This window comes from Homo sapiens, chromosome 5 (genome assembly GCF_000001405.40).
Source record: "Homo sapiens chromosome 5, GRCh38.p14 Primary Assembly".
NCBI lineage: Eukaryota > Metazoa > Chordata > Mammalia > Primates > Hominidae > Homo > Homo sapiens.
This window is the reverse complement of record NC_000005.10, coordinates 96,641,694-96,664,410: the sequence shown is the minus strand read 5'-3', so window position 1 is coordinate 96,664,410 and position 22,717 is coordinate 96,641,694. Positions and strand designations below refer to the sequence as shown.

Sequence of the window (22,717 nt, the reverse complement as noted above, 5' to 3'; positions counted from 1 at the left end):
ATATATATATTTACACATATATATGCACACACATATATATGCACACACACATATATTTACATATATATGCACACACATATATTTACATATATGTGTAAATATATATATGCACACACACTGTAAATATACACACATACACACTATACATATATACTATTTATATAGAAACGGAGAATAAAAAATAATCTAAAAAAAAACACTACTTGTGGGATATAATTCTGCCTGGCACATAATAGATGATCAATAAATGTCCATTGTCTGATAAGTAACAGTTTCTTTCTTGATTCTTATACAGGGTAGCTAGCTCCAAAGAATGTCTGATTCCAACATCTTTGCTTTTTCCAATACCACATGCCAAGAGAGAAAAAGACATACCTAATTTTTTAATTCTCACCATAAATCAATGAGACATAAACATTTTGGCTCTCACTGTCAACAAAACTCCTGTGTGTGATTTTTTTTTTTTTTTTTGGAAAGCAATCTAATGTTAAATCATGCTTCCTGGTTCCAAAACACTAGAAGTGCCAGCTTGACTGGATATTACACCTAATTGGCAGGACAAACATTCAATGCACCAAACAAATGGAATGTTCTTGTCCCTCATCCAAAGTAATAAAGTGCAGAGAAGCTCGCTTTTGTGCGCGCTGTCTCTCTCTCCCTCCCTCTCTCACTTTCTCGCTTTCTTTCCTCCACCCCTCCACCGCTCTCTCCAAGGGTCTTGGTCTCAGATCTCAGTTGCTTCTGCCCCTTGATGTTTGGGATTTTCTCCTTGCCTCACATTGCAGCTGCCTCTCCTTTGCGTCGGCGAATGTACGTCCAACAATCGCCCTCTAAAAGTTTTGAACTTTACTTAGGGGTTAAAAAAGAACTCTAGATCAAAGCTCTTGCGAGCTGCGTCCTAGTGCATTCAGGAATCCACCTCCTAGACAGAATTCCTCCAGCAACAATTCCAGTTCCATCCCACTTGTGAGCGCCAGCAGAGCATAGTGCTTGACATCGGGGCGAGAGAGGTGCATGCGCCGCGCACGCTCGGGCGCGCTCATACATACCACAAGAGGGTGAGTCCCCTGCCTCTCCCCGAGCCTAACCTGAAGGTCTGCGAGGAGGTCGCACCCGGTCCGCACCCCTTCCCCGCCAAACCCCGGACAACGCTTCATCCGCACGCCCAGAAGGGCAAAGCAAACACACTCCCTTCCAACACACTCCCTTCCGGGTCCTGCCCAGGCACAACCGCTCCTATTTACCGTCTTGTACCACCAGCTGGCGAATGCCATGGCAACAACCGGCTGGCTCCGATCCGCACGGCGGGGGAGCCGGCGAGGGCGCGGGGTGTTGCGTTGGAGGCGCCGGGCTCACACTCCGCTTGGCCGGGACCGGGCTGGCACTGAGCTCCGCACATCCCAAGGCGGCTGCCAGGTGGGCAGAACCCTGGGGGTGGGGCCCGGCGCAGGCCCCGCCCCTCCTCGCCCGCCCAATTTGGCTCGAGGCTGGTTAGGGAAGAGGCTCTGCGTCTCCAGGCAGCCACGCCCTGCGGCCCGGCCTTAGCGCGGAAGACTACATCCCGCTGTCCAGTGAAACCACCCCACTCACTCGGGGGTCCTGAGTGAACCTCATTCCCCGTTCATCCTCATCCTCATTCACCCACGTCTTACCAGCCAACTTTTCTTGACGCGTCCCCCCCTCCACTCTACCCGGCCAACGCCACGCCCAGCGCACTGGACCCGGCCGGGGAACCGAAGCCACCTGCAGCCACCTGCCTGGCAGCGGCCAAGCCCCTAGCCCTCTCCCTGCCCCGCGGGGGCGCCGGGGACTGCAGACCCGCCAGCCTGGCAACGCCCAGGGAGGGCGGCCACAGCTCCGGGACCCGGTACCCCATCGCCCAGCCCCGCGACGCCGACAGGAGCGCCACTCACCTCATGGGTGCGGCGGGCGGCGGCTGCTCGCCGGGGCCGCGGGGAGGCGGCGGGCTTCTGGCCGGGCTGGGACATGGCGAGGCCGCTGCGGCCGCTGCCTCCCGGAATGCGCCGCGGAGAGTGGCGGGGAGGCCTGGCGGGGAGTCCTGCCAGGGAGAGAGGGAGGGAGGGAGGGAGCGGAGGGCCCGGGAGCGGGCGATGAAACAGCTTTTCCGACCCCACCCCAGGTCTGCGCCGGGGTTCCCCTAGCCCCGATGGGCCCTCCCCTTCCTGCCCGCGGAGGGACCCGGGCTCCTGCCCTGTAACTTAACACCCTCCGCCCCGGTCCTCACCCGGTGACCCGCCCCGGCCCCAGCACTGCTCTGGTCCCGGTTGGTCAGAAAGAAGGGGTTGGAGGTTGCAGCGTTCCTCCTTCGATGCCCAGATCTAGCTTGCAGTTGTGCAACGAGAGAGCGGGACCCGGGCGTGGCCAGTCTACGCTTCGACCCTCCTCCCAACAATCCGGAGAAGTAGATACTCTTTCTACATTCTGCTCCGCTTTAGCTGCGAGAGTTTACCAACTCAAATCTGGCCCAAGCCTGGACAGTCTAGATAAGGAAGCGGATCACAAAAACAAATTGGTCTGTGTGTGTGTGCGTGCGTGCACGCGCCTGTGTATGTTTTATATGATTTTACTTTGTTTTTTGGCAGTTTCGAATTTTAATAAACTTTTATGGGGAGGAGAACATAGGTTCCAATGCAAAACGGAGAACAGTCCCAAATTTAAACCCTTATAGTCTTTCTAGAGTCTGGCGAGTTTTGTTTCTGAAGCTAGATTGCTTTCTTCTTGGGCTCATCTTAAACAGCGCTTCCTGGTTTGGGGCTGGAAGTGAAATTTAACAAGCCCTACGTGCTTATGTGAGAAACTGTCAGCCTGCAGTTGCTGCTGGTTCACAATCAGGCCTGACAGAAAACCTGTTTGTTACCCTGCAGTAGCATCATCATTCTGGGACTTGGGGTCACCGCTTTCTGCAGCGTTGGGGTTTAGACAGTTGAAGAGAGAGAAGGCAGAGCCTTTTTTTTTTTTTTTTTTTTTTTTCTGGAGAGGCAGTTTCGCTCTGTCTGGAGTGCAGTGGCGCGATCTCTGCTCGCTGCAATCTCCGCCTCCCAGGTTCAAGCGATTCTCCTGCCTCAGTCTCCTAAGTACTTGGGACTACAGGCGCGTTGTCACACCCAGCTTTTTTTTTTTTTTTTTTTTTTTAATGGTAGAGACGGGGTTTCACCACGTTGGTCAGACTGGTCTCGAACAACACCTGACCTCAAGTGATCTGCCCAGTGCTGCCTCCCAAAGTGCTAGGATTACAGGCGTGAGCCACTACAGCCGGCCAGAAGGCAGATTTTAAGGAGAGATTTGTCATGCTATATGGAGCCTGGCAGAACAGAATTCTGGTTTCCTTTGTACCTCCTCATTTTAGGAATTCTGACTTCTTCTTCAAAGGATAGGCTAGCAGCATTCTTAATTTTGAGGGAGGGGATGCGGGGAGAAGAGGATTTAAATGCATTTCCTCTTAAAGTGTCGTACTTACTGTCTGTGTATCTAGTATTTCAACAAACAGGTAGCACTGCAGGAATTTATACATAAAAATGAAACAACTTAGATATTGGGACTATGTCCACTCAGGAAAAACAAATGATTGTTGGCATCGGTTACATTCAGAAAGGAGGGAAACTATGCCATAAGTCTGAAAACAAGATCTTCTTATGATTGTGACCACACCACTACAGTAATTTAAACAAACACAAAAGCTGTAGGGGTGAGGTGACAGGCAGCTCCTCCTTCCTGGCCTCCACCCCAGGAACTAGAATGATTTTCTTACTGGGGAGCCTACATATCCCAGAATCAAGGTTTTAGATCCCTGGAGTACTTTATTCAAACTCTGGAATGGTTTCCAGTGACTTGGTGGCATTAGAGTTTGAGGTTATTTTCCAACAGAGTATTTAAAAATTGAGTTTAAACCAGTTATATATTTCTTGAGAGTATTCTATGTAAAACATTGTGAAAGGACTAGTAGAAGGAGAGATATAGAGATTAAAAAGATACATTGCCTGTCCTCCAGGGACTGACAGTTTAGCTGAAGTTATATGGCATTTGTAACACATGATGGTGTAGGGATATTGAAAGACCTAACAGTGTGTGAGTAAGTACAAAGGTGTTTTGGGAGTTTGGGGTTCCACAGGGGTTGTATCAACAATAGGAGGGAAAGGAGGAAGGAGACATGAGCAGGCTGGCTAGCTGGTGAGGTGTGAACAGAAGGAGAAGGGGTGGGGGCACCTGACGAGATAAAGAGGAACCCACTCACCTGGCTGGAGCGGAGGGTCTATGTAATGGAGTAAGTAATCAATCTATTCACCAGCTCATTGTTTGTGGAGCAGCTACACTAATACATGATATATTAGGTATCAAAATCTATAAGAGGTAATAACCCTAACCTTCAGGCTTAGCTTAAAAGTCAGAACTCACATAAGCAGAACAATTGCTAAACAATGCATTAATGACTATGAGTACAGAAGAATTTCAAAGAAGCTGAAGACCCTGATGTTTTGCTTTTCCTTGTAGCCAGTGAAGAATTATTGGAACTTTGATATCATGGACCAGCATTTACTAATTTGGGGAAGCTCCTTTTAAATATAGATGGTGCGGTGGCTCATGCCTGTAATCCTAGCACTTTGGGAGACTGAGGTGGGCAGAGTGCCTGAGCTCAGGAGTTCGAGACCAGCCTGGGCAACACGACGAAACCCCGTCTCTACTAAAAATACAAAAAACTAGCTGGGCATGGTGGCGCGCACCTGTAATCCCAGCTACTCAGGAGGCCGAGGCACAAGAATCGCCTGAACAAGGGAGGCAGAGGTTGCAGTGAGCCAAGATTGTCCCATTGCACTCCAGCCTGGGCGACAGAGTGAGACTCTGTCTCAAGAAAAACAAAAACTAAATATAAATAAATAAATGGCTTTTGCCACATTACTGTCTGCACATAGGTAATCATTTATTCCTTTATTTACTCAGTAACAGATGCCTGCTATGGGGAGGTACTGTAGACCTCTTACACTAAAGGACTTTACAATTAGAAGAGACAGACAAGTAAATACAGGCATACCTCATTTTATTGCTCTTTGCTTTATTGCATTTCACAGATACTGTGTTTTTTACAAAATGAAGGCTTGTGGCAACCGTGCCTCGAGCATGTCTGTCAGCACCATTTTTCCAACAGCATGTGTGTTCACCTCATGTCTACCCACATTTTGGTAATTCTTGCAACACCTCAACCTTTTTCATTATATCTGTTACGTGATATGTGATCAGAGATCTTTGATGTTGCTATTGTAATTATTTTGGGGCACCACATAGTGCACCCATAGAAGACAGAGAATTTAATTGATAAATGTTGTGTGTGTTTTGACTGCTCCACCAACTGGCTGTTCTACCTAGGAATCGATTTGCATATAAATATATACTTGAAAGAGAATCCTATAAAGAAATAAAAAACAGAGCCAAAGAAACATCCAGGTAGATACCACATCGCATTTGCTGGAGATTGCCATATTTTGGCAATACATCATAGTGGGTAAAGCATAAGAGTTTTAGATCCACACAACTATGTTTAAATCCCAGCTCTGCCACTTATGGACTGCATACCTCAAGCAAATTACTTAATCACTTTGAATATCAGTTCCCTAACCTGTTACCTGTGGATGATAAAGCTGAGTACCTACATCCTAGGGTTATTCTGATGATGGAATAAGGCAGTGTATTAAAGCATTTGGCACAGTGCCTCATGTATGATAATTGTGCAAATAAATGCTGGTTGCAATTATTAAATTGCATTTATTATTAATAGTTAAAAATTTCAAAACCCCTGAATGTTCTTTGGACAGGGGCAAAGCAGTTTTTGTTGGATCCCCAGTAAGAAGCAACCTCCTGTCCAATCAATGAATGTTATAGATCTGTTTCCATTCAACCAGCATTCCAGACATTCTGTAGACCATAAAATGAGCCACAGCTGAGCAGTACCCTAGGAAAGCTCTAATCCAGACCCACATACCTGAGCTGGCAGCCAGAATTCACGCTGATGTACTCATTCCCAATAATGGGTGCTTTTTCCATTTTTCCATTTCCTTTTTTTTTTCTTTTTGGTTTGCTTCTTTTGTGTATGTGCTGATAGAGTGGCTGGTTATTTGAAATAACTTTAACATTTGTTAGGCAACAAGAAACCAAATTTGGGATGATGTGTGCATGGTAATGAACTTACTAAACCCAAAGTACTCCCGTGTTCCTGTCCTGGGATAGGTGCAAGTTCGTCATGGCCCCTCAGATCTGGAGGCAACACAGAAAACTGAGTCACAAAATTACATTTTTTTTTTTCAGATGGACTCTCGCTCTGTTGTCCAGGCTGGAGTGCAGTGGCATGATCTCGGCTCACCGCAACCTCCACCTCCTGGGTTCAAGTGATTCTCCTGCCTCTCAGCCTCCTGAGTAGCTGGGATTACAGGTGCCCACCACCACGGTCATCTAATTTTTGTATTTTTAGTAGAGATGAGGTTTTGCCATGTTGGCCAGGCTGGTCTCGAACTCCTGACCTCATGTGATCCACTCGCCTCGGCCTCCCAAAGTGCTAGGATTACAGGTGTGAGCCACCGTGCCTGGCCTACAAAATTACATTTTCAGACTAGCAAGTGTATCTCTGGAAATCAAGTTATATTTTTGAAATCTTGCCACTTTCCACTAACTTTCATTTTTCTCCCACTCACAAACACCATCTTATGGAATTAATTTTCTATATAGAAATTTTTGCAGCCCAAATATCTGTACAGCCAACTGCTTGCTTCAAATATTTACCAAAGCTAGATTAATTTTTTAATGTGCTATTTCTGTCTGGAATATATCTAGACCAAGTCATTCATAGGAATCAATTTTTATTATAAGAATTATCATATTCTTGTCATATTGAAGATTTTGAATCAATTATCTTTTCCTTTCTATATATCCTAACCTACTCCCTCCCACTCAAAAAATTGTCATCTAAATTTTCCCAGGCCTAGACTTCATTTCCTCCCTCAGCCTGTCTTTTGTCCATTAATAGGTATTTCTTGTAGCCTATCCAGAAGGCATGTAGATTGGGACGATACACTGAGCAAACCACATTTCTTCACTATAGCAAAAAAGAAACCACAGTTGGTCATCATGGTGACTCACCCCAGGCTTCTACCGCCACACCCAAACCACACAATACTGCAAACTCTTTGGTTAGATTTAAGGCAGAAAATAAAGCCATCCTGCAAAGCAAGATTTTTATGTTCCAAGGTACGCCTAAGGTCACCTCTCTTTGGTGTTTGATTATAAAATAGTCTTGATCCTTCTTGTTGCAGATCACTTCACATTACATATTTATTGGTGTCAGGTTTGTTTTCATTTTTGTTTCTTTCCCTGCATTTGTTTCCAGCTCAGATTATTGTATAAAGAAATGTGCCATTTCTAAGAGGTTCTTCAATTGCCTGCAAGCCACAGTGTTTTTTTTTAATTAAGAAAAAGTGTCTCTTTGGATTTAATACTCAAAGTCATTTGGGGCACATGCAGAATCTTGATTCCTTTGAATCAATATATAAGAATTCACTAGTTTCTAGAAAGAAGAGTTAAGAGCATGCACCAGGGGCCATTTGGAATATCTGCCCGGCTCACCCCTGTTCCTCCTTTGGAGTAGAATTCCAGATCCCATCATGGCTCCCCATTGCTCTATCCCTCTTCTCCACAGCCCACAGTTGACTGGACCAATGGTAGACCTGACTTGAACTGACCCAAACGGGCAGGTTTTCTTTCCTCATTGGGAGGTGGGGACTGAGTAATGAAATTAAGATGAAGATAGAGGAAAAAACTTTCTGGGTGCTAAAAACCGTAACGTGAAGCATGTAGACCTGGGCTTCACTGTGGAAACTGAGGACCCGGAAAGTCAGCCCGCACAGGAAGAAAGAACAGGCCTGCCAGGGAAGCAGAGATAGGAGGAGACAGAAGAGGGCTGAGCTTCCTTACGACCTTCCACTTAATGAGCTGCACTCTCTAGTGAGGCCCAGTTGCACTCAAAAGGCTTTGGTTCTGGGACGTACGCTATAGCCTTCAAAATAATCTCCCCTCATTTTTGTTTTAACAGTACAAGTTGCTTTTTCTGTTATTTGTTAACCAAGAGTCTCAACCAATTCAGAAACTAAGCAGAATATGCATAGAGTATACAAATTGTTCTTAAGTAAAGTTCTCAGTAATTTTTCCAAACTTTTTTTCCCCGTGGTCCTCAGTAAGAAATACATTTTACATTGCAACTAGTACATATAAATGCACATGATTTGAACATGAAGTTTCATGGAACAATTCTTCATTATCTATGATCAGGTAAAAACAATGAATAATGTGAACTATGTTTTATTCATCTGTAAACACAAAGTGGAAACAAATCCAAAACAAACAATAAAAACTAAAAATTAGGAAATATTTTACTTAATGCTCCAGCTATCTTTGCCTGTTCATGTTTATTACAGTCTGAGACACATGAAGATAATGCTACCTGCATTTCTGGTGCACTGTTCAGCCAGATTTTTTTTGTTGTTTTAATTGGCTGAAGATTGAAAATCCCGATTTACACAAATAGGCTCTTGAGAATGTTAACAGTGGCAGCATATTCTGATATTCAACTTCTGTTCTACTTTATTCAAATTTCTTTTTTAAACTGTTGATGATGACTCACTAAATGTCATAACCAACTATTGTGCCCACAGTTTGAAAAACAGTAAGCCAGAATATATTGTTAAATTGCCTACTACTAAGATGAGCTAAGATAAGGCAAATGCATTGCAAGTATCTGCAGTAGATCCTTATTTGAGCTCAGACATCTGTCCTTTTTTAAAGCTCTCTAGAGGGGAATCCCAGTTTTTCATTCACTACTGCAGATCATTTGTAACAATTCTCTTTATGTGGAGAGCCATCTGCATTTGACTGCGGACTGCCATTCAAATCCATTTCTTCTTGTCCAGTTTTCAGAGAAGATAAAGAATAGGTACTCTAAAGCTTCTCTTTGCCTGGGTCTATCCTTCTCCCTGCCTTTTCCCTCTTATCCACAGAAAGCCAGCTTCCCAGCCACACTGGTCTCCCTACTGGACCATGCATGACCCGTGCATGCACTTTCCCTTTCCTGCATTTTTCCATGTTGCTGTTCTTCCGAGAGACATCTCCCATCTGGTTATCTAAATCCTGCACATTCTTCAAGTAGCAGGACATGTTTACCCACCATCAGGTCTTGCTCATCACTCTGCCCCACATCTTTTTTGTCCTTTTCTGATCACCTATAGGTCTTGAAAGGTTTCTATTCCATATTTATTGACACAGAAAAATATTCAGTATCCTCTTAGAAGGACAATGTATTTATAAAATAGCATGTACATTGTAGAGCTAAAGATAGAGCTATACATCAAGAAATTAACTAGATGTGAGCATTTGGGTAATTCTATTTTGGTTTTATTTTCCCAGTTTATGTTTTCTTAATGTTTCTTATATTTCTTAATGGTTCTTGCAATAAACACATAGTATACAATAAAAATAATAAAAGGAAAGTCTTAACTTTTGAGCTAGCTATGAAGGTCTTTTATCATGTGAGCCCTCCCCAAATTTAACACAAATATACATGGTCTTTATTTGTTCTCTTCTTGTGTGCTCAGCTTCCACTTCCAAATGTATTGCAATATTCTTGAAAATCCAGATGCCCCTTTTTTGTTTTTTCTTACTTTTCATTTTCCAATTTTGATATAACAGCAAGTTATTAATGAACTTACTCTTGATAACATCTGAGTGTAGTCAAGTAAAAGCTTATGCTGTGTATGTCTAGAAGATATTTGTGTTATATTTTACTTCCTTCAAACCACTGAAAACTCTGCAAATATTACTTCTCAGATTAAAATATAACATCGGAGAAAAAGAGAGTGCTTTGTTTTTGAAACTGGTAATATACAGTAGCTATGCACACTACACGTGAGGTTTTTTTGCTTTCATTATGTACTCCACAGTTTGGTTTTCTTAAGAAAAAGATATAGGAAGCATAAATGAGGAAAGTAGTGAAAGTGAAAGAAAGGTAAGAAAAAGAATTGAAAAAAGAAAATGGGCCGGGTGCGGTGGCTCACATCTGTAATCCCAGCACTTTGGGAGGCTGAGGCAGACAAATCAAAAGGTCAGGAGTTTGAGACCAGCTTGGCCAATATGGTGAAATCCTGTCTCTACTAAAAATACAAAAAAATTTAGCCAGGCATGGTGGTGCACACCTGTAATCCCAGCTACTTGGGAGGCTGAGGCAGGATAATTCCTTGAATCCGGGAGGCGCAGGTTGCAGTGAGCTGAGATCGCACCACTGCACTCCAGCTGGGCAACAGAGTGAGACTCCGTCTCAAAAAAAAAAAAAAAGAAAAGAAAAGAAAACGATAAGGAGAAAGGAGAGATACAAGGGAAGAGAAAAGAGAGAGGGGAAGAAGAAGAAAAAGGAAAAAAGGATAGTTAAGCAACAAGAATGAAAAAGGGGAAATTAAGTAGTATTTTTAAGGGGAAACAACAAATATTAGACTAAAACTACCACTAGAAAAATACAGAATAAGACTCATAGTTATTTATTTATTTATTTTGCTTTTCAGTCTTTCAAATACTTAAAGATAATTATTTTGGCCCCCAAATTCTTTTTTCTTTTCTTTCTAAAGAAGCCAAAATGAAATATTCCTTCGTCTTCTAAATATTGGGTTAAGATACAAGATAAAGATCTGAGAGAAAAGAAGAAAAAGAAAAGAGCTTTTAAATAATTTTTATTTCATCTATGATTTACCTTTTGCTTACTCTAATCTAGGACTTTATATGCATTTTATAAACCTTCACAGCAATGTTACGAGGTTTTATTTGTACCCTTATTTTACAGAGAAGGAGATGGGTGTTTTAAGAAGGTAAGACTTCATCCACAGCTGGGAGGTGGCAGAGCCAGATTCCAAAGCCAGGTCTACTAACTACACTTCCTCTCCAAATTGTTGCCCTTTCTGGAGCAACAACTCAATTGTTCTCTTTTAATCATCTGTTTTTCTAGGTCTCCCAGAACTCTCTAGATGAGACAGCATTTATTTATTATGAATTTATTATGCAGTTGACTTTGAGGAAAAAAATGTGATTAAAAACACATGTCTGGCATAACTTCAATACCAGGTGGGGTCTAGCCCTGCCCCAAGGCAATGAATCTGGACTGGTTTGCCTACTCAGACACAGAGACTCCCTGTGAGGTCTGATCCCACCCTGAGGATATAGGATAACTGTGGCACAGAGTAGATGTGTCCCTGGAGCCTGTGAGAAAATATGAAGGCAATCACTAAACTATGGAATAACTGCCATTAATTTGGGAGATAATGGCTGTGGGAAACTCAGGCTCAACAGGGACCCTGATGGGTCTCAAGGATTAGGAGACATCCTTCAAGCACTGTGCTCAAGCCAAACCAGTTCCTCACAGCAGGTGGGTAAGAGGGTGTGGTCTCAGTTGGTGCCTAGCTACCTCTCCCAAACCTGTTGTCTTGCAGAAAGGGATTATGGTTCCCGTGCAGTCTGTGCCCCTTCTGAAGTATGCAGTAGTCAGCCTCTGACTGTTGGAGTCCCTGTGACCACCAATTTCTGTCATGAGCTCTGTTTTTCCTGGGATACATCAGATATCACATCTTATATTTTGCATTGTGTCATTTTAATATAGGCAAGATGATCCCATGTGCAAATAACACATCCAAGGGAAATCTTAAAATGAACATATGGCACATATCTTACTCCCTGAGTGGGTTAGGCCAAATGCTGTGTGTCAGGAGGCTCTGTGACACAGAGCATTTAAGTGGAGGCTTCACAGAGGAGTCACCTAAACATAGGGTTTCCTCTCTGTAGGTGTGCTGTGAGCTGATTGGATGAGTGGCTAAATGTATAATTAGGTGCTGTGGGTTACTCAGCTAGTTTTTCTGTTTATGTTCCTCCTCCAGAGTTTTAATTGAGCACTATTTAGTACTTAGGCTAAAATGGTATTACACCAATTATCTTTGTTTAAAAAAATCCCCATGACCCATCAATTCTACATTTTTCCCTAACGTGTGTTATTTTTATACCATGAGTATTCTAATTATAGACTCCATGTAGGAAATCATTTGTAATTATCAAACAAAGCAAAGCCAATTATTACAACCTAGGTTGGAAGATACCTAAGGGTTGGTCTGGACCTCGTTTGCTATGAACCATCTCCTTAGAACCATCCCTGGGAGGTCCTCTGACGCTGCCCTAGTGGCCACTGCAGGAAGATCTGCTCTGGTGAAAAGCAGGGGTTTTGGATTCAATTGCATATGGATTTGAATCCCAGTTGTGGTCCTTAGCAGTAAGTGCTTAGGAAGTTTACCGAAGCTCTCTGAGACTCAGTATCTTTGTAACATGAGCCTACTAATATATACCTTGCAGGGCTGTTACTTTTAAAAACATGTCACAGGGAGATTCTGATTTAACACACAGATTAAATATGTGTGTCTTTATTCCTTCTCTCCCCTGAAACTTCACTGAGAGTAAATGAAATTAAAACAAATAGGAAAGCTCTAAACCTACAGGATAAATGGCACAGAACAGGAGACAATTACAAACATGATATATCAACACATTTTTGTAAAAGGTGTAATAGAAACCAAATTTTACAGAATGGAGAAAGCTACAGCCTGAGAGTCTGCTGGGGAGATACGGACAGAAGTGAGCAAGGTCTAATGCCAGTTTGAAAGCTCAGGGTTTGGAGGTGGGGCATGGGCTGAAAAGAGAGAGATGGGTGAAAATCTTTACAGATTGCAGTTAGAACCTCAGTCTCTTTCTTCCATTTCACACATCAAGGCAACTATCCCTTCCCAACCTCAGGTGAGATGCGAAGCTTACAAAGGAAAGGACAGTAGAGACAGGATAAGAAAATTAGATATCAACTCAAGACATACAACATCTATCCAGTAGGATTTCTGAAAAGACAGCAGAGAAAGCAGAGAAGATACAACCAAGTAATGATGTCTTAAAAAACCAGCATTGACTGATATTAGTACACACACATACACATACTTCCCTAGGCACATCACTGGTGCTCTGTCCCACGTTAGAATGTCTCAGAGGCTGAAGGTTCATCCTCTGCAGTGTGGTGGAGAAACCGAAGTTCTTGTCCCACTACAAGTTGCTGTTCTGCTTTCTAACTAGACAGTGCTTTGTTGCTGAGGAGCCCAGGGCACAGTAGATTTTTGTCTGATTGAGATAATTGAGACGGGGAGGCTGGCATCGGCAGCATCATTTCCCTAAAACCGCATTTATTTCTAGTACTGTTTGGGTCTGTTGTTTTATTAGTTCAATTTTTTTTCTCCAGAATGTTCTTGGAAAGAAAATATCTACCCACACTATTATCCAACTTCAATTCTGAGAGAGCACAGCAGAAAGAAGAATCATAATACATCAGCCAATGAATGCTTCAGTGTCAAGATTGGAAAGCAAATTTCCAAACACAATTCTAAATATCTATTTTGCACTAGTCTGTTGAAAAAATTCTTTGCTAAACCTTCTCTATCTCTATACATCTGGAAAGCAGTAAAGACTGTTTTGAGTAATCTTTTCTTCCTTTCTCCCACCTATGCTCCCACGAATGCCCACACGCTACACACACACACACACACACACACACACACACACACACAATTAAGTGGGTAAGAGGTAGGGAGACAAATTACATATATGGAAAGTACATCTTAGGCTGCCGGGTAGAGAAAGTGAAGGGGAGAGCTGCAAATTACATAAAATAATTCTGAAAGGAAGATTTTTAGGAGGAAGCACATTAGAGGACAATTGTCTGATTGTTAATATTGGATTTCAAATTCCAAGTTACAATGTATAATTTCTAGATTCAGAAATGAATATATTTACTTCAACAAGTAGGATAGTCATCAGGATAAGACAGGCTATACTTCAATAACCAACAAACCTGAAACCTAAGTGGTTGGTCACATGAAAGCACATTCCTTTTTCATGCAAGGTCTGTTGCAGGCCCAGCAGCTCCCCAAAGCAGCTTGCTTCCAAGTGACCCACGCTTTCATTGTTGACATCATCATTTCAACCTGAGGCCTCTAACAGGGAAAAGGAAAATGCGTGAAGAGTCCTAATTATTCTTCTATGCTTCAAACTGGAAGTGACCCTCATCCCTCGTACTTCTAGTCCATTGGCTAGAACTAGTTCCAAGGCCCCAGTTTAATTACAAGGGAGTCCAGGAAATTAAAGGAAACACATGGGTATTTGATGAGCATTGTATGTGTCTACCACAGGCTGAAAGCTTGGCTGCAAAGGGCTGGTTCTGCCACTTCCTCACTGTGTAATTTATTCAATCTCTCTGACTCAGATTCTTCAACTGTAAAATAGAGATAGAATAATATCTAACTTATGAGGTTGCTATAAGGATTATGTGAGAATATCCAAGTAAAACTTTTAGAATAGTGTCTGTCAGAGAGAAAATTTTATGACTGTTAGCTATTGTGTTACCGTCATTACAGTATTACCTAACTCATTATATACACCAAGGATTGACTAATCTTTACTGCCTCTGTGACTTGAAGTTTAAATGCAACTCTAACAGGAACATGTTACATTTGAATGGTATTTTACAGTTTGAATGCCGACAATAAACCTGTGATGATGCAGGATGAACATAATTTTCATTTTATTATTTAGGAAACAGTTCAGAGACTGCTCAATTGGGTCAAAGTTACATCACTAGTTCTGGTGGAAAACTAGAATCCAGTTCTATGACTCTTTCAACAGACTTATCCACTAGCCCCAGAATGATTGATCAATGGGGAAACCAAGGTGGCAAAGGTGGCTTGATCCAAGGTGGCAGAGGGCCAGAGAGCAGATCAATGAAAGAGAGTTAGAAATCAGGCCCGTTGACTTCAAATATTTACGAGAAGATGACAAACAATGGATCCTGGGAGAGGTTACATTCCCAGGGCTGTCTCATTATTCGACTTATGTGAATAGCAAAATTCTTTCATGAGAGAAGAACTTTAACCCTGCTTATTAAAAGAAAACATCTGCAATGTCAGACAGATGCCAGGAACACATGTTTGTGTTGAGACTGTATAATGACAGAAACACAGTAATTTATTGTCCTTGTCAGAAACCAAGGGCTGCAATGGGAGTCTGAGGCTCACTGACATGAAAAAACTTTTTAAAAACAAATCTAACAGCAAAAGACTGAATCTTTTATTAATTTTAAATTCTTTTGGCAATTGTATAAGATTGAACAGCATGAAACTGCCATCTCTGTAGGTTAAAAACTTTGAATATAGGCAATTTTATATGGTTTGAGCTAACATTTTTAAAAAGACATGTCTTGCCCTATGAGTACCTCTATTCCTATTAATATAGCCATACATCGACAGAGCTACAGACTGTTTATGCAACAAAAACATGAATCCTGTATCCACCATGTGCCAGACAGTATTCCAGGCCCTGGGGGTAGATCTGTGAGCAAGATGAAGTCCTTGACCTATTAGCTGGAGTCAGGTGAATGGACCATCTTTACTGAGTAGGCGTCTCAGAGCTAGGGCTTCAGAATCAATTCAGCCTGGAATGAATTCCTGGCTCTGCCACTACCTAGCTGTGTGACTGTGAACGAGTGTCTTATTACACCACACACACACACACACACACACACACGCATATATATAAATAAAACTTCTCCCAGTTTCACAATGCAGAGGTACTAAGTACTCATAAATGTAGCAATTGTAACTATTACGTTTGTTATTACTTGCTGACTGAAAAAACTTTTCCTTCAAAGATGTTGCCACTTAAAGAAAAATAATACACAGATATATTAATTCAAGTGCTGAAACTTAAATATACAGATATATTAATTCAAGTGCTGAAACTTAAATATACAGATATATTAATTCAAGTGCTGAAACTTAAATATACAGATATATTAATTCAAGTGCTGAAACTTAAATATATAAACTTAAATATACCTAAATATTAAATATACAGAGAGAAATAAATAGTTTATGAGGAGAGGAGTGTAAACTTGGCAATATAAAGCATTCACAGTCTTGCTGAGTGACTCTATCCTGAAAGACTTAATCTAGAAAGACCAATAAGGAAGTGAATCTGCAGACAAGTTCTGAAAGTGGGTTTTGAAAGAGGGGAAGGCACACAGTTTAGCAAAAAGAGGGTGGTAAGTCATTCTAGGCAGAAGAAACAACTTGAGTAAAAACATCCAAAGCCTAGTGGAAAATATAACCTAAAGGATAGATGAGTTCACACAGAGAGAAGTGATATTGTAGTGTTTCTTCCTACAAATACTGGGGAAACACAACCTAAGTTGAAAAAGCAGTTACTCTTTCCAGACTAAATTACCAAAAGCAGAATTCAAATTCACAAGGGGCATTTCCTAGTATAGGAAAGAATTGGAGAAAGTCACAGCTCATTTTGAACTGGAGTCTTTTTCACTTTTGTCCAATTATTTCCCATCCAGAGTCCTTAGGCTGATATAACAAACAGCTTCAAACTAGGTGGCTTAGAACAACATAAATTTATTATCTCACAGCTCTGGAGGTTACGAATCCAAAATCAAGGTGCACGCAGGGCCATGCTCTTTCTGAAGGAGCTCGGGAAGGATCTGTCCTAGCTCCCTGCAGGCTTGTAGCAGTGTAATTCCACTCTCACACGGTGTTCTCCCGGTGTGTGCCTCAGTTTAGTTTATTTATTTATTTATTATGTATTTTTAACAAGGAAATCTGTCATATTGGATTACGTCCCACCTTAATGACCTCATTTTAACTTGATTACCTCTATAAAAACCCTATCTCCAAATAAGGTCGTATGGGGTTAGGACTTCAACATATTCATTTTGGGGGGACACATTTCAACTCATAACACTTAGAAAAAGGAAACTGATCTAATCATAAAAAGTGATACTGGCTAGAACAGCACAAGGTGGTATAATCGAAGGTTCATATAGGTAAAAATCCTATTAAATCTAAAACGGTTTTACAAAGCAAGGAAACTTCCTTGCAACAAGGCTATTTTTACCACAGAACTGTACTAGGTGTTAATTTGAATAACAAGTCATCCTCAGTGTATGATCTTGTACAACCAATGCCTTTGAAGTCTGGATTGGATGTAATTAACAAAAACGATATACCGAAACCTAAGGACTCCGGTTGAGACTGCAGGTGTGGAAAATGGAGCTGTGGGAGAGTTGGGGTTTTTGTTTCCTCCGATCCGTGTATGTCACTAAGCAGCAACAAATCACCCAACAAGCCAGTGCCCCTAACTCCATCACAAACATGCCAGCAGTTCCCAGCAGAAAAGTCAAGCCACTTATAGAAACAAAAATAATCCAAGCCTCAAAATGATTCAAGAAGATGGTGAAATGGGAGATGGTATATTCATTACAACTTTTCATTTGGTAGTCCGCAACAGAGAGGTTGGGCATCAGTAACAGTTTCACCTTCACCTCCTATCGTTTGGCTAAGTGATTTCTAGAAGTACAAGTTACTTCAGCAAAAGAACTGGAAATTCTAGAGATTCTAAGTGATAAGCTTTAACCTACACATTATACATGCACTTGATTTATAATATTTATTTTTTATTGGATATCTAAAATTATAATAGACAAAGAAATGCTGTGTTTAAAACAAATAAGTTGAATAATAAAAATCAATCGATGATGAGAGGCAAATATTCCCTGTTTACATGTGCAGCCCCACAACACCTCCCCAGAGGCAACCACTATTTATAATTTTTTAATATTTTAATTCCAGGAACAGCCAATAGAGCAATTTATATGTGGTTATGAAGAAAATTTATATAAAGAATATTTCTGTTTTTACAGACATACTAGAATACTATCTACACCATTTTTCACATTGCCTTTTTCATTTAACAATACATCTTGCAAGACAGTCCACATCCCCTTACAGAAATCTACCTTTTAAATGACTGCATAACATCTTATGTAATTGCTTCATACTACATTTAACTGTTGCCTGGTGGTAGCCACTTAGCTGGTTTCAGTTTTTCCCTGTTATTAAACGATGCTGTAATGAACAGTTTTGCAGGTATCTTTGTGCCTGTGCATATGCAAGTATATTTGTTAGAGAAATTTATAAAAGTGGAATATCTAGTCAAAAGATGCATAATTACAACATTTTGGACAGATATTTGCCAAATTACCAACCAAAATTTTTGCACCAGTTCAACGATGTGGGATAGTACCTCCTTCTCTGCAATATTGACGGTGGTGTGTTTTATCAATTTTTTTATCTTTGTAATGTAATGCGACAAAAACATTACCTCCTTGTGGTTTTAATATATATTTGTCTTATTTTGAATCAGGTTAGAGCATCTTTTCACATGTTTATAAAGTATATTTCTTTTTCTGTGAATTCTATATTTGTGACCTTTGCCATGTTTCTATTGAATTGTTGGTTTTATTATTGGCTTACAGTTATTTTTGTCTTTATAGATTTTTAAATTATTATTTTAAAATATTATACATATTTTTAAAATTTTAATTTAGTCAAATTTATTAATCTTTTCCTTTCAAGTTTCTATGTTTTGTGTCTAGACCTTTAGAGAGGTCTTTCCACTCCAAGATTATAAGAAATACTCTCTTTTATTTTCCCTTGGTATTAGTAAAGTTTGTTATACTTTCACAGCGTTTTCCCACTAATTAATATTTTAAAATAAAAAAGGTAATTGTTTAAATTTACATTACACCTCTTGGAAAGCAACAGTCATATTATCTTATAATTTAAAATATTTATTTTTCCAAACCATTAGAATCCAAAAATTTAAAGTTAAGTATTAAAGACGAAAGGAAAAGAGAATCTCAGTCAATTTTAATAATCTTAGAGAATCTTGCAAATGAATATTATGTTTGAAACGAATAAAATAGGAATAATTTTCACATTTAAAAATTATTTGGGCATGCACTGGACTTAGTGACTTGCTTCCAAATAATATAGAAAGGGCGAAATAATAACATTGAAGTGGAAAAACCTGAAAGACACCACCTTAACCGCGTGATGAATGTTGACAGCACCAGTGGTAAGTCATGTGGATCTCATGTGGAATGTGACAAGAAGGCCGCTTTAGCACTGTGATAATCTTCCCCAGACTCATAACTCCAGCCTACTCATGAGAAAAACATCAGATAAGCTCATATCGAGAGATATTTTACAAAATACTAGATGTACTCCAACTGTCAAGGGCATGAAAAACAAGGAAAGTCTTAAAAACTGTCACAGGCCCCAGAGGAGTCGAAGGGGACATGATGACTAAATATAGTGAGTATGTAGTATTGGATTGGGACCTCCAACAAAAAAAGGGAATTAGTGGAATAATAAATCCAAATGAAGTCTGGAGTTTTGGGTTTTATTTGTTTGTTTGTTTTTTGAGACACTCTCACTCTGTCACCCAGGCTGGAGTGCAGTGGCCCGATCTTGGCTCACCGCAACCTCTGCCTCCCAGGCTCAAGCGATTCTCCTGCCTCAGCCTCCTGAGTAGCTGGAATTACAGGCACGTGCCACTACTGCTAGGCTAATTTTTGTATTTTTAGTAGACACGGGGTTTCACCATGTTGGCCAGGCTGGTCTCAAACTCCTGACCTCAAATGGTCCACTCGCCTCACCCTCCCAAAGTGCTGAGATTACAGGCGTGAGCCACGGCGCCTGGCTTGGAGTTTCATTAATAGTAATATCCTGATGTTGGTTTCCTAATTTTGACAGATGTATCACCATAATGTAAGATGATAACATCAGGGGAAATTGAAACTGAGTGAGGATTATAGGTGGATTCTCCATACCACCTGCACAACTTTTATGTCAGTCTAAAATTACTCCAAAATAAACTGTTATAAGAAAAACAATTTTATGTTTAACAAGACTTTTCTGGGAATGGACACCGCCAAAATATTTGTAGTAAATTTTTATTTGTAATAATAATTTTTAAAGGTTAAAGATAATTTTCTAGCAGTTGCTGGCTGTAGCTGACCAACATGCCATTTGAATCCACCAAGTACCAAAACTACTTCTGCTGTGAATGCCTTATTCTTGGAGAAGCAGTAAATATAAAATGGGTAAAGAGAAATTTAAATGACAGACTTTCACTGTACAAGAAACTTAATTAAAGACAAATTTGTTGTGAAGTATTTTTTTAAATAATGGTTTTATTCAAATATAATCCCCATACCATACAATTCACCCATATGAAGTATACAATTCCATGGTTTTTAGTATATTCACAGAGATGTGAATGATCAGTCAATTTTAGAACCTTTTCATCACCTCAAAAAGAAACCCTCAATTTTTTTTTTTTTGTTTTTGAGACGGAACCTCGTTCTGTCCCCCAGGCTGGAGTGCAGTGGCATGATCTTGGCTCACTGCAACCTCTGCGGCCTGGGTTCAAGCAATTCTGCCTCAGTCTCCTGAGTAGATGGGATTACAGGTGCACACCAACATGCCCAGCTAATTTTTTGTGTTATTATTATTATTTTTTTGAGATGAAGTCTCGCTCAGTTGCCAGGCTGGAGTACAGTGTCATGATCTGGGCTCACTGCAATCTCGGCCTCCAAGGTTCAAGCGATTCTCCTGCTTCAGCCTCCCAAGTAGCTGGGATTACAGGTGCGCGCCACCACACCCAGCTAATTTTTATATTTTTAGTAGAGACAAGGTTTCACCATGTTGGCCAGGTTGGTCTCCATCTCCTGACCTCGTGATCCACCCACCTCGGCCTCCCAAAGTGCTGGGATTACAGGGGTGAGCCATTGCGCCTGGCCCATTTTTTTGTATTTTTAATGGAGTTGGGGTTTTACCATGTTGGTCAGACTGGTCTCGAACTCCTGACCTCAGATGTTCCACCTGTCATGGCCTCCTAAAGTGCTGGGATTACAGGCGTGAGCCACAGCACCTGGTAAGAAACTCCAAACTCTTTAGCTATCACCTTCCTATCCTCACATCTGTCCCCTCACCAGCCATAAACAACTACTAACTTTTCTGCCTCTATAGATTTAACTATTCTGAATATTTCATATAAATGGAATTATATAATAAGTGATCTTTTGTGACTGGCTTGAAGGATTATTTTGTATTCTCCAGATAGACTTTGAAGAACAGATAGCAAAAGTAACTTAGAAAAATGCACTTTTAGGGATGCAGATATTATATCATTTTGAAATATAATCTCAGTGCCCTACTCTCAAGGTGTCTTGCATCCCAGCTGCGTGCAAACATGCCACTCCACATTCCATTGTGAACGTTGTTTTGTATGTAGCAAAATAATAAATATAGAGTAGTGGTTAAGAGCACAGCCCAGAGAGGCAGACTGCTTGATTTAAATGCTAATGCTGTCCCTTAGCAGCAAATTACTCAACCTCTCTGGTCTCTGGTCCTTAATTTCCTCACCTGTAACATTGGGAAAATAATGGTTCCTACCTCATAAGGGTGTTAGAAGGATAAAATGAGCAAATAGATGCAAGGCCTTTGAAACAGTCTGTAGTACATATTAAGAACTATATGTATTTGGATGGGCGTGGTGGCTCACACCTGTAATCCCAGCACTTTGGAAGGCCTAGGTGGGCGGATCACTTGAGGTTAGGAGTTTGAGACCAGCCTGGCCAACATGGTGCAACCCTGTCTCTTGTCTATATTAAAAATACAAAAATTAGCTGGGCGTGGTGCCGGGTGCCTGTAATCCTAGCTACCTGGGAGGCTGAAGCACGAGAATTGCTTGAATCCAGGAGGTGGAGGTTGCACTGAGCCGAGATCAGGATACTGCACTCCAGCCTGGGCAGCAGGAGCAAAATCTTGTCTCAAAAAAAAAAAAAAAGGAACTATATGTGCTTTATTTACTATCATTATCAACCACGAGAGCCATTCAATGCAAATAGTGCCACAAAGTGTTTAAACAGTTCTCCTCATGACCTCCTGGCCCTGTTCAGTAGTGAACCATTTCAACTGGAAGTGCCTTTCTAATTCCCCAGGCTATTTCTTCTTGGAAGAAGAAAGTTTAGCCTGGAAAGACCCAATAATGTGTCCTTATCCATTTAACAAATATTTATTGAGGACATATTATGTACCATGCATTATCTCAAGTTCTGTGAATAAGATTGAAATGATCCTTTTCATCATGGAGTCTAGTGGTGGATACAGGTAAACAGTTATGACAGGGATCAAAGAATGTAGTAAAGAGAAGAATTGTATCATTGCATAAGGAAACAAAGAGAAATCAGGTAAGATAACATCTGGTTGGTTTCTGGAGAGCTTATAGAAGTTTCAGTGCATGGGGAGATAATGAGAGTAAGATAAAGAGAGGAAGCATTTCTGAGATGTTTTGCTGAGAGTTTAGATTGTGCACCCTCTCAGGCATTTTCGATTGCAGTAAAGAGACTTCAGTAAACATTAAAACACTTAATTACTTTGTGAACTTTTGACCACTGTTTCTTTAAATACAGACTGCATTTAGGATTGAGCTGTGAGGATCCTGGGCTTTAAATAGGTTCTAGCCTGTTACAATATTATACAATGCTGGGCAAAGTTAGAGGGAGCTTTGTGAGCATGCAGGAAAGTGGACTTGAACTTAGAAGATCCAAAAAGGAGCAAGAGACACCTAAACTGGGACTTGGAGGATGAAGGGGTTGCAATGGGGAAAGATAGTGCAGGAGAGGGTAAATGAGCAG

The 22,717-nt window shown here is 40.9% G+C and overlaps 1 protein-coding gene across 21 annotated transcripts in view, besides 6 other annotated features; it reads right to left on the bottom strand.

The window, feature by feature from the left end:
* Positions 1-22,717, bottom strand: part of CAST (calpastatin) — an 813,255-nt gene that overhangs the window by 110,273 nt on the left and 680,265 nt on the right. For 6 of the 21 annotated variants that reach the window (NM_001750.7, NM_001042441.3, NM_001330626.2 and 3 more), the window contains exon 1: positions 1,914-2,035. The exons of 11 other annotated variants lie outside the window; for them this stretch is intronic. In NM_001750.7, the coding sequence (NP_001741.4) occupies positions 1,914-1,988 (75 nt within the window). In that variant the 5' untranslated portion in view covers positions 1,989-2,035. Of the gene's footprint in view, positions 1-1,244; positions 1,387-1,913; positions 2,036-2,245; positions 2,375-22,717 lie in introns of those variants that run through there. 4 more of the 21 variants (NM_001330629.2, NM_001375317.1, NM_001330628.2 and 1 more) reach the window with 2 other exon arrangements.
* Positions 1,259-1,538: a silencer, noted in NCBI's record as "silent region_16193". NCBI's record gives its function as "represses an Ori minimal core promoter by ATAC-STARR-seq in GM12878 lymphoblastoid cells {active_cell/tissue: GM12878}" and the evidence as "EXISTENCE:reporter gene assay evidence [ECO:0000049][PMID:35858748]".
* Positions 1,729-2,318: a silencer, noted in NCBI's record as "silent region_16192". NCBI's record gives its function as "represses an Ori minimal core promoter by ATAC-STARR-seq in GM12878 lymphoblastoid cells {active_cell/tissue: GM12878}" and the evidence as "EXISTENCE:reporter gene assay evidence [ECO:0000049][PMID:35858748]".
* Positions 1,729-2,382: a biological region, named in NCBI's record as "H3K27ac hESC enhancer GRCh37_chr5:95997733-95998234".
* Positions 1,881-2,382: an enhancer, noted in NCBI's record as "H3K27ac hESC enhancer chr5:95997733-95998234 (GRCh37/hg19 assembly coordinates)". NCBI's record gives its function as "activates a minimal SCP1, AML or CMV promoter by ChIP-STARR-seq in primed H9 embryonic stem cells {active_cell/tissue: H9 hESC(primed)}" and the evidence as "EXISTENCE:reporter gene assay evidence [ECO:0000049][PMID:30033119]".
* Positions 6,468-7,667: an enhancer, noted in NCBI's record as "MED14-independent group 3 enhancer chr5:95992448-95993647 (GRCh37/hg19 assembly coordinates)". NCBI's record gives its function as "activates an origin of replication core promoter dependent on BRD2, BRD4, P300/CBP and CDK7 cofactors, and independent of MED14, by STARR-seq in HCT116 cells {active_cell/tissue: HCT116}" and the evidence as "EXISTENCE:reporter gene assay evidence [ECO:0000049][PMID:35650434]".
* Positions 16,249-16,318: an enhancer, noted in NCBI's record as "active region_22815". NCBI's record gives its function as "activates an Ori minimal core promoter by ATAC-STARR-seq in GM12878 lymphoblastoid cells {active_cell/tissue: GM12878}" and the evidence as "EXISTENCE:reporter gene assay evidence [ECO:0000049][PMID:35858748]".